We start from the raw sequence: 12556 nt of genomic DNA on the forward strand, positions 1-12556 counted from the left end.
CTTGAGATTTCAATCAAGTTACAACTCTTTGGGCTTTGGGTTCTTTTCTGTAAAATGAGAAATCAGGATTGGTGAGATGACAGTTAAGGATAAGTGGACTTCGTACACAATGAGACAAATGGAGTAGAACCACATTCTATGTGGACCTAATTTTATGGAGAAAACTGTACCTTTCAAATGGTTCTGACTGGGAGTGCTGCTATGAAAAGCCCAGCGTGTTCAGCCCAGAGCTCCCTACTTTTTATGGAATTCCAACTCTGACACAACACTCATAGCTTAGATTTAGTCAGAATCAACTTACCAAGCCTCAAAATGTTCCACAGAAGCTTTTGTTTTTATTAATCTATTAAGACTTTACAAAGTTTCCTTCTCTTTGGTTAGAAATGAAAAAAGTGGGTTAATCTCATGTCTTGTTTCAACCGGGAAGCCATGACTTAAGGAGAGCAGCCTATCTGCCACAGATGATACCAAAAATTAAGGATACTCAAAAACACTGGTCCCAAATCAATGGCATGTCCACAGCCTTTGTTCCCTGAAGATCTGCAGCTCATAAACATCCAGGGGAGGCCAGGTCTCCTCTCTGTCCTTCCTAGTTGCAGATACTGATACAGCAGAAGGCAAAGTTAGAACATGTATGGATTAGATTGTTCTGATCTCAGGACAATCTAGTTGCCAGAAAGAATTCAAGACTTAAAGAATAGCACTCTAACAAATTCTGATTATCTCTGCTTTATCCACTGAGATTTTCAAACTACCTTTTCATTGCCCATGCCTCCCCCACTATTAAAAACAGCTGTCCCAAAATTTTACAGTATAAGTCTCTAATTGTTCCCTAACAAATAATTTGAAAATGACAGACACATTTCACCTTCACCCTGCCAGGATTTCACAAAGTTGAGAATATGGGTTTAATTTGAAATCCATCATTACAAAACCATCCTCATCCGGCAATAGGAAAGACTCCCATTATAATTTTCTGCTGGGAGTCATTAGAAAAAGCCAAAGCAATAGAAGGGAAAAGGGTCCGAGAGCACCTCTAACTTACAAAAGTACAACCCACTTTGTTCAACAAATAAAAGCAGAGCCTGCTTTGTTCAACTCGTCCTCTAAGAGGATATGGACTAGAAAATCTTTATTGCTGCAGCCTCATTCTATAAAATAGGACTGTATTTACCCATCTTTCTGGATGGCCAAGAAATAATGATACATCTTGTAAATATAGGTTGGTTACTTCAGGAAGGGATAGGAATTAATTTCAAATCTATCACATAGTATCAAGCTATTTCCCATGAGATTTCATACCAGGCCACAGCACTGGAAGCCATAATTTCCATATTTATTGAAAACAGCATCTCAGCCAAAGTGGTACATTGTGTCCTCATAGTGAAACCTCACCCAAGGAAATGGAATTAACTTGCACTATCATCATAAGTGTCTAGGGTTTTTTTTTTTCCGAAAACTGTAATATTTGACCCCCTAATTCAGAGAAAGTTTCCTTAACTGCACTGAGCTCTAGCAAAGACTGTAATTTAAGAAACTGATTCCTAACCTAGTAAACTTTCTTGCCAGCAAACCAAAAAGTTTAAATCTGTGCAGTGCATAGTAAAAGGTAACAGAACCAAACAGCTGGATTTTTAAAATATCCATGTGTCTCCCAGCAGCATTGCAGGGTCTTCATTTATTTATGGTTACGTATTTTATTCTCCAAGGCTGTTTCACAATCTGTTTATATAAATTGTGTGTGTTAATGCATGTGTTTGAGTGGTGGGGGGCAGTGCACAGATTCATCTAACTTTAGACTGTGATGAAATAACTGATGATAAAGGATGCTATGCATGTGTAATATATCTAAATATTGGATTTTAAAACCACTTTTGATGGATGGCATTACATGATTAATTTTTGAGACTTCTGGCTCAGATTAAAACTTCCTACAAATCTAAATATTTTGTTTTTGTTTTCCTTTCTTCTAGGAATATTAATACAATTTTGGGAATGACAGCACAGAATTGGCATGAATATTAGTACTTTCACCACAAAACAAATGTGACATATACAGGCCGGGCGTGGTGGCTCACACCTGTAATCTCAGCACTTTGGGAAGCCAAGGCGGGCAGATCACCTGAGGTCAGGAGTTCGAGACCAGCCTGGCCAACAGGGCAAAACCCTGTCTCTACTAAAAACACAAAAAATTAGCTGGCCATGGTGGGCGCCTGTAATCCCAGCTACTCAGGAGGCTGAGGCAGGAGAATTGCTTGAACCCGGGAGGCGGAGGTTGCAGTGAGCTGAGACGGCGCCACTGCACTCCAACCTGGGCGGCAGAGTGAGAATCCACCTCAAAAATAAAAAATAAAAACTGTGACATATACAAACCTTTTCACTAAGAGAAAAAAATTGGGAAATTAGGCAAAATTGATTAATGAGAACAAACTGTTTATTGTACAAAACTCTTAAGAACCTAGTATTTTCTTAAAAAGTTTTGCCCTGAAGATACATTGACGGTCTAAGATCACCAGTACCTGATTCAATTCCTATTTATCAATAGACCTGGATTGAAATAAAAGGCACTGATGCAGATAGCCTCAGTTAGGAGCAGGCACTTAATTATTGGAGTTGACAATTATGCCCTCCCATAATGCATTTTTGGTGTCACTGAAGAGACCACCAGCATTCATGACTCTAAGCCAACATGGTTTTTATGTTTTAAAAAACACATACTTCACATGTATATGTGATTCACTTAGAATTTTTTTCAATGCTATTTTAACAATAAATAAAAATCTTGGCCGGGCACAGTGGCTCATGCCTGTAATCCAGCAGTTTGGGAGGCCGAGGCTGGTGGATCACTTGAGGCCAGGAGTTCGAGATTATCCTGGCCAACATGGCAAAACGCTGTCTCTACTAAAAATATGAACATTAGCCAGGCATGGTGGTGTGTGCCTGTAGTCCCAACTCCTCAGAAGGCTGAGGCATGAGAATCACTTGAACCCAGGAGGTAGATGTTGCAATGAGCTGAGATCGCATCACTGCACTCCAGCCTGGGCAACAGAGCAAGACTCTGTCTCAAAACTAAAAATAAAAATATTTACCTATTGTTCTCTTGATATTATTATATAAGAAATACATATTCTGGCCAACTTACAAAATTAGTCTTACAATATTTTCCCTAAATTATTATGGTAAAAGTAGATTATATACTCCCTAACAAGGGCATCTGTTTTTAATCTTTGAGTAGTTGAAACCATGTAATAAGTTTATGCCTATTGAAAAATGTAATCTTTCTAAGGAAAAAATTAAATTTCAGGGTGTTCATTATCATCTCTAATTCCACTGCTCCTCAATTCCAGGATGCATGCTTTTTTCACATTTGAACATTTTTGAAAACAAGATACATCTTAAAATAGTATCTACATTAAATGTGGCTCTGTTCTTTTTTATCTTCTAAAATGCTGTTATTGCATCCAGCAATCCATGGTGTATCAGACATGAGAAAATATGCTATTTTCTGCATGCCTACAACTCACCAGGTTCTTCTAGATGCTCGGTACACAGAAACCTATAAGGAGCAGGCTCACAACAATAGGCCAATGTATTTTACAGCACTAAAGTAGTTACTTGAGTAATATGCACCAATCAACTCAAATTTTGTTATATAATCCTTTATAACTCTCATTCTCAATAGGAAAAGACTGTGTCCCCTCCACCTCCACCCACCTACACAAAGAGTACCTACCCAGCATCACCTGTCTATCTCTGAATAACTCACTAATACTGTGTATTAAAACTGTAAAATCAAATAAGCATGGCTGGTGCTCACTGACTGAAGAAAGTGAGATATTTTAATTGTTAAGATTTAAATTATTTAATATGCCTCCCAATTACTTGTTTTAGAACACATACACACATGCACACACACACGCGCACACACACACGTACACACACACGCACGCACACATACACACACACACACACACGTAACCTACAGCAAAATCAACCTTAAGTAAAACATAGAACAATCTTTCACTATTTTTCCTCCAGAACATTGATCCTGCCTTGGAAAGAGAAAGCAAATGATTTAGTGCATCTATTACTATACTACATTTTTATTAACTAAAAATTGTTTCCCCCACGCCTCCATTAAATAAATATACATCAAATATTTAAGTAATATAGATTTGGAGGGGCATCAAGGTATATCTGATCAGGAAACCCCACATAACTTGGAACAGCCCTCAGCAAAGCTGGAACCCAAACATCAGGCTTTTTGGTTTCCAAACCTGGCTTTAGGACCTCAAAATCCTGGGTTCAGAGAGGTGACCCAAGAAAGCCCAAAGCAGGTAAGAAACAAGAACCAAATCCAGGCCTCTCAATTCCATGCCCCAGAGTTTTGTCCACATTTGTTAAGAACCTAATCTGAAACAGTGCTATCCCTATCTTGAGATACATACAAGAGTAAGGTATGATCCTGCCCCCAAGGCCCTTGAGTCTCTATAAGGAATTGTGTGATTTAAATCAATACAACTGAAATCAGAGACACAAAAGTAACAGAGTAACATTAATTTTTAATTTTTTTTTTTTTTTTTTTTTTTTGAGACAGAGTCTCACTCTGTCGCCCAGGCTGGAGTGCAGTGGCGCCATCTTGGCTAACTGCAAGCTCCGCCTCCCAGTTTGACACCATTCTCCTTCAGCCTCCCGAGTAGCTGGGACTACAGGCACCCGCCACCATGTCCGGCTAATTTTTTGTGTTTTTTAGTAGAGATGGGGTTTCACCGTGTTAGCCAGGATGGTTTGCATCTCCTGACCTCGTGATCCAACTGCCTCAGCCTCCCAAAGTGCTGGGATTACAGGCATGAGCCACCAAGCTGGGCCACTTTTTAAATTTTTTTAAAAGAAGTCTCATGCGTCTATCAAGATATTTCAAAACAAAAGGAAGTTTTCAGTTTGACAAAGCTATAAAATACAAATAATCAAGATAGAAACAACATGATGATAATAGTCATGTTAACATTTATTGACTACTTACTACGTAACACTCACTTTGTAAGGTGCTTTTCATCATTTAATCTACAACAAGATCATTAGATATTATTATCATCCTAATTTTACAGAAGAGAAAACAAAAACACTTTGAAAGTTGCTTAATAACTTACCCAAATTTACATATGCTAATAATCAATTCAGCCTGCAATTTCAAAGGTCCTGCCACCATCCTATAAGTAGTTCTTTAAAAAGGGATAATAACCCTCCAACACACAATCACACATACACATATGAACACCCAGGTCCAGTTTTATCTGTCTCTCTTTATGGTCTGCTTGCTTTGAGTATCTCAAAATTCAGCCATATCAAGAAAGAAAGCTGGGAGCTGGAAGCTGAGAAAAATACTACCCACACTGAGTTGGTCATTGGTAATAAATAAATTAACCAATAAGGTGAAGAATAGGAAGAGTTTAAACAAGAAAGTTTCCAACATGTTATGCTTTAACTAACTGTGAGTTGAAGTAATTATTGGGAAAAAAGGACAGTATTTTTAGAAAAGCAATTAAATTTAGCTGATAGGTGTCACTGACACTAAGGTCATTTCAACAAAAAGGATTTTCAAAGTAACAGAAGCAGAACTTAGGGCAGAAGCACCCAAGAGATGGCTTCAACAGAATCAAAGACCAATTTGCCCCAATGTTCAAGGAGAGGAAAGTATAGACTTCATTTCCCTCAAGATCCCACTGGGATTGGATTCCTTTACTTAATTAACTACTCATCCATGATACTATCTAAAAAATGCTGATCCTACAGCTTTGTGTAGACAACGTGCTATAGCCTCAACTACTCTATTTAATGGAATATCAATTTTCCTGCCTAATAGAGCTCAGAATTTGAACTTCCTTCACGTAAGCTGATATTCTCTTTCCTCATTTATACTACAGCTATGTTTGTACTGAAAGGCATGAAATATTAATATTTGTGTCCATGATCATACAGTCCAATGTAAGGAAAAATACAAGTGGAAAACTAAGAGGAAGAAACAGTCATTTCACTGTCTTTCAAAGTAAAACAATTACAATTATGTAGGAAAAATATTACTTGTAAAAATTAACTCAAAACATTTTTTATTTATAAAGAAAAATTGTTATTGATTTACATGTTTACAACTGTCCTGTCGCACAAATGTGCAAGCTCCCCTACTGTATCATAAGGTTCTTGAGGGCAGGGGTTAGATTCAGAAACTTCACCTCTTACATTGGATGCCAAGGACCGAGGGTAGGTACATAGTGTTTGTGTTCCCCCACCGTCTACCTCCTGGCTGTGAATGAACTAAGAAGACAGACTAATGATCGTGATCAGTTTAGTCATGACAGATCCAGCACAGCACCCTGGCCATTCATGACAGATGCCTATTTAGTATGAGCTGGACAACAGGGAAGTAACATCAGTGTTATCCAGTTATCTCTATGAACCACCAATTGAAACTAGATTTGATATATCTTCCCAATTGTTTAGTTTGATTTCTTCCTTTGGAATAGCTACTATTTTAAAAGTTTAGGCATATGGCAATACTTAGCAAGAAGTAAATATTTAACCCAATCTCCACTAAGTAAAGCCCTTAACATTTTATATATAATCTGAAGACATCCTGTATGTATGTGCATGTATATGTATGTATGTGTGTGTGTATATATATATATATACACACACATATATATATACATGCACATACATATAAATATCCATATATACATAAATATATATCAATATAAGCTGGCACTGTGATATAGTGCTATTTTCTACATAGTAGCAGCAAATCAAGATTACATACCAAGAGAAGGCATTTATCTTCCATCATGTGTTAATGCTGAAACACATTAACTTTCCTCTCCTCATCTCCCTACCTCTTCAGTCATGTCTACCTTTACATGCAAAATACAGTAGCTGCTTATTTTAAGGAGTACATAATTTCACTAAATATTATTCTGCTCATTGTGCTTTCTCATTCCATTCCTATCGCAAAGCTTTTAAGTTGTTTGTCAAGTCTAAAATCTCTCCTACTTTTCACTGGAGAGATTAATTTGGTAAAAATAGAATCCCAAACTGCCATTGCTCTTTTAGTCATCTTAATTAATTGTAATTAGTTTTAAAATATTCAGTTCCCGATTTCCCATAAAACTGAGGGCATCACACACACATGTGAGTTATCATTATTTCTTAGTACCAGCACTTGTGATAGAAAGGTAACCATCCATTCTTTCCTGTGGTCTTTCATACTTTCAACCCTGATTAGTATGTGAGTGGCTGGTAAATAATTAATTTTATAGTGAGTGACATATTTTGAAATCTGCAAAGTATTTTATTCTGGGAATTTAAGGCAACCCTTGCATTTCCCTAGATAGCTCTGTGTACGCCTACAATTATAAGTTGAAGCAGATTCTTGACTTTCCCATTAGCATCTAACAATTTATGAGCTTTTGATATCCATGGGATGATTTTTAAATGACGACTTTAATTCCCCAATGCATCTAGATAACTAGAAAAATAATAGACAATAAGTGAATGCTTTAGCGAAGGAATTTAACTAAGAATTTAAAGCTTCACCCAAGCTGAAAGTAATCAAATAAACTTTATAATGGTCCTGCACTGACTTCAATATTCTCTTTACATTTTTAAAGGAAGGTAGCAGCTTCAAATAACTTATTTCATGTGGACTGCATAACTATCCTATTATGTAGTAATCATTATATACAATTTACAGATAAGAAAGCTGAGGCTCATCTATTTTAGTTAAATTGCAGAATTAGGAATTGGCAGAGTTGGAGTTCAATCCAGATCCAGCTGCCTTTAAAGCCATATTCACAGTACTACACCAACCCAGGCAGAACATGGATCCTTGCTCTTCCAACATTTACAGTACCTTTCAGGTCTTATACCAAGTTTAAGCCTAAAAAACATATCTGGGTTTTGGTTATCTCATAGATTATACGAGTTACTTGGGTTCAATTTGTCACTGACCACACACTGGGTAGGCAGTGATAGGTCTGTAATATTAACCATAACTAAAGATAACATATTTTGGAAATTAATTAATTTAAAAATCAAATATAAAGAAACATGTATCAAATAATAGTTTTCCCATTAAGAATTTGGCTAAAAAATCATGATGGAAATCAAAGAAAAATGTGTGTTTTTCTTAGCCAAAATATTTATTTATTTATATCTTTAGAGAAGGGTTTCACTCTGTGCCCAGGCTAGACTAGCACGGTGGCATAATCATCGCTCATGGCAGTCTCTAATACCTGAGGCTCAAGTGATCCTCCCATCTCAAACTCCTTCTGAGTAGCTAGAACTACAGGTGCATGCCACGATGTCCAGTTAATTTTTTTTTTAAGAGAGGTAAGTTCTCACTATATTGCCCAGCACAGCCTAGAATTCTTGGCCTCAACTGATCCTGCCACCAGAGCCTACCAAAGTGCTGGGATTACAGGCATGAGCCACTGTGCTCGGCCACAGAAGTCTTTAATAAGATTCAATTGGCATCATCCATTGTCAAAGTACAAAATGTATACTTTCATTTACTACTGTAACTAAAGGTGATTAAAGAGACAACCAATCATATGCCCTTTGCACATTCTATGTAAACAATCTTTCATTACAATATCAATTAATCACCAATTCATTGGAAGTTCTGAACTCCATGGAAATTGAGTATTTAAGCAACAAGTTTGGTTGAATCCCTATTCCAAATTATTTAGTAGAACTCAGTAAGTGAAAAGAATTAGAAAATAGTTCTTCTCAGAATTCAGATTATATAAATTCACTTGTAAAATTTTACATATTTAAAAAACACCTTTTATGGTCATTATTTTAGCTAATTATGCACTAGTTTCTATTGGGTGACAATTCTCTACCCTGTGGTACCTTTTGTCTCAGACTACTATTCAAGGATGTCTGTAAAGCAAACAGCCTGGGAGGATAAAGATTATGTCTTCCTCCTCCAGGACAGAGGATAATTTTGTTTCCTGGCAAGAGTCAAAGATAATGCCTTCCTCCAGGGCAAAGGCTGGGCAAGTGTGCCAGAAACAGTTTATAAGACTGGTTATTTCCTAAACTCTGTGTTCCTCAGTTGTGACACAGATCCAACAGGTATGAAGTAACCACCTGGCCCCCTCTGCATTGCCCTCAAGGGAGGTTCCCCTCAAGCTCTACAAGATGAGAGCTTGTAGCCCATGCTGCCTGCTGTGCATTGAGCAGTAACATCCTTTATGTCTGATCCAGGAGTTTCGTGTCTTCTGCGAGCATGTATGAATCAGGCAGGCTAACTTGTTACTTCACAGGCAGGTTAAAATCTCAGACTCCTCACTGCTCTTGACAGCTCTATATGATTGATTAAATAAGTGTTTGCAGATGTTGGCTAACTCCAAGGTAAATTTTTACTCCTCCCTCTAAAGCCCAGAACTCACAGCTGTCACTTGTGCTCACGCAGTTAGGGCAAAACTAAGGAATACCATCTTCATACATGAAATTCTTGGGACTGCCTGACGACTCTGCAGCTACTGAAATGAAGGAAGTGAAGACAAGCGCAGGAGTCTTTTCCTTCTGGTGGCCACTGTTGGGTTATTAGAATCGTCATCTGTACACCAAAGACAAGCTATCCTTCTCATGCGCTGATTGATTACATGCTGTCACAGGCTAACCTGTAAATCCCTGTCATCAATCACCCTCTCTCACAGAGGATATGGGAAGATTTCATGTCTCAATCATGCTCTCCAGTTTACCCCAGGGTGACAAAAGCCAGATAGAGTCTTGGGGCACTGAGGTGATCATACTCACTTTCCCTTCTCGCCTCATCATTTAGATGGATACAACACTAGATAGTAACGGGCAACGTTTACAGAGCACGTCTCAATAATCGTTTTATCCTTCTCCCACACTAGAGATGCAGACAAGCAAAATTTCTATTTTCTCTTCACAGAGGCTCAATGAATTGAAGTGGCTTGATCCAGGCCCAGATCTGGTAACCAAGGAAGCAGAAGCTTCTTACCATTCCATGTTCTCTCTACTTCACAAAACCAAGGAGGCCAATAGATGGTCTCAGCACCCATTCTGGCCCTCTCAGAGGCGTCTTTGGCTACTCTCTAATGGACCTTGTAAGGGGCAGGGAAGTGCAGTGGTTAGGGAACACAGTCAAGAGCTAGATTGCCTGAGATTTTAAATCCTGTCTCATTCACTCATTAGCCAGTCACTCCTGGCTCAGTCACTTAGGCAATTTATTTAACCTTTGTGTGCCTTAGTGTCATCATGTGTAAAATGGGGATAATAATAGTGCTTCTATTGTAGGATTATTATAAAGATTGAATAAAATAAATAAACTACTGTATCTGACACCACCATTGCTACCACTACAACTGCTTTGAGTCCCTTTTAGACACACTGATCCCTTTCTGGTTAGAAGCCCAATTTCTGATTGTCAGGCTTGGTTAGGAATTCAGGTGAACTTCCCCAGGGTCTCCATATCCAACCCTGCAAAACAGCAATCTAGGCTCACTCTGCCATCAGGAACCAAATTATCAAGAAGAATGTGACAAGTTCCACAAATATTTCTTGTGGAATGAATAAATGACTTAGGAAGACTCTCTGTTCTGCAATATACATTCTGGAAGAGAAATGAGGCTTTGGGCTTGACTATCCCTATACCCCCTTTGTGAATAAATCCATGTGACAGGCAGAATGATGACTACCACCAAACCCCCAAAGATGTCCAGCGTCTATTTCCTGGAACCCATGAATATGTTACCTTATATGGCAAAATAGATTTTGCAGATGTGATTATGATTAATGGCCTGGAGATGGGAGATTATCCTGTATTTTCCAAGTAAACTCAATCTAATCACATCAGTCCTTAAAAACGAAGAACCTTTTTCAGCTGTAGAGAACCAGACAGATGGCAGAATGAGAAGGTCTCGACCCACCATTGCTGGCTTTGAAGACAGAAAGGCATCACAACCAAGGAATGTGTGTGACCTGTAGAAAATGGAAAAGGCAAGAGCATGGATCTCCCCCAAAGTCTTCAGCCATGCTGACACTTTGATTTGAGCCCAGTGAGAACTGTGTTGGACTTCCGACCTGCAGAACTGTTAAGACTATACATCTGTGTTGTTCAAGCCACTGGGTTTGTGGTAATTTATTAGGGCAACAATAGAATCTCTGGATTCTTCCACTAGGGAAAGATCATAACCCAGTACTGGGACTATTCTGTAGGGTTAAGCAACAGGAAAGCATGTATTTACTCACCAATTCATTCATTGATTCATCTTTTTTATTCATATTGAGCACCTACCACAGCCCAGACACTGTTCTTTGGGCTACAGAAAACAACAGTGAACCAGAGAGCCATGGTCAGCTTCTGCAACCACGCAGCTTACAACTCAAAGCTGACAGATAGAGATTAAGCAGCCAATTAATAAATTAGATAACTGCAAACAGTAGAAAGTGCTGTGAAGAAAATAAAATAAGATGATGAGATAGAGAACACAGAGGGCAGAGCTGGGGAAACAGAAACCCCAGATTTGGGTGGATGGAAGGCTAAGAAATGACATTTGCCAGCTAAGCAAAGGTCCAAGAGAGTTCATAAGCCACTAACTCGTGGCTGACCTAGCCTTCTTATGGATGCTGTAAGAGGTGAAATACCTGTTTTTGAGAAATTGATATGACTTCTCACTCCAAGGAAAAGTGTGCTGTGTGAATTGCTACTCTAATTTTCCTGTCTCCACTCTTCACAAGCATGACTTTTAAGGCTTTATTTTTACCATATTTTATGAACAGTGTAAAGGCAGCATTATCCCAGAGTCCCTGCATATCATTTTCAGTGAGAGTACTCAGCGTTCTCCTTATCTGAATATGGATGTGGTTAGACTCCCTGTGACGGCTACATTGCTGTTACTGTGATAGATTTCCCTGTGCTGGCTGCAACCTGTATCAGCGACACTGGCTCTGAAACCAAATGCATTGCTCAGGGTTAGACCCAGACACAGTGCTAGAGCCTACGCAGACCACAGCTGTCTCTACTGCACATTTAGTTATGACAAAAATGTCAAAGCGTGAAGGTGGCAAATAAAGTGTCATATCATGTAGGAATGATGGTCTCTGATATCCAAATCATACACACACAAAACAGGCCACTCAATTCATTTATTGTAATGTCTTGCTCTAATATCTATGGGAAAATAGTACAAACAACTTCAATTTTTATTCAGGTTGTCATAGTGTCAATAATTACATCTCATAATTACCCCTTTCATAGGTTGTCTATAAAAGTAAAACTAGAACATCCAAGTAATCTGTCTCAACCCAGAGTTCCCAGACACACGCAAACAATGCAGGGCAACGCAAATTACCTTCACACCCTGGTTAGTTTGTTCTACAGATGCCTTACTGTGTGAGAAGGGGCTAAGCTGAGGCATAAAATGAATCCAATTCTGAAGCTACTCTAACCATTTCTAGTGTTGTATATGTTAATATAATGAACTTACAAATAAACAATATCTAGTAAGATGGCTTTTGTGTTGGG

At 38.4% G+C, this 12556-nt stretch overlaps 1 protein-coding gene across 28 annotated transcripts in view; it reads right to left on the bottom strand.

The window, feature by feature from the left end:
* Positions 1-12556, bottom strand: part of ENOX1 (ecto-NOX disulfide-thiol exchanger 1) — a 573843-nt gene that overhangs the window by 423834 nt on the left and 137453 nt on the right. For 8 of the 28 annotated variants that reach the window (XR_007063686.1, XM_047430422.1, XM_047430417.1 and 5 more), the window contains one exon: positions 1-12556. This exon is cut by the window's right edge and continues 18025 nt beyond it. The exons of 19 other annotated variants lie outside the window; for them this stretch is intronic. The gene's annotated coding sequence lies outside the window, so the exon portion shown is untranslated. One more of the 28 variants, XM_047430421.1, reaches the window with a different exon arrangement.

Source organism: Homo sapiens, chromosome 13 (assembly GCF_000001405.40).
Source record: "Homo sapiens chromosome 13, GRCh38.p14 Primary Assembly".
Lineage (NCBI taxonomy): Eukaryota > Metazoa > Chordata > Mammalia > Primates > Hominidae > Homo > Homo sapiens.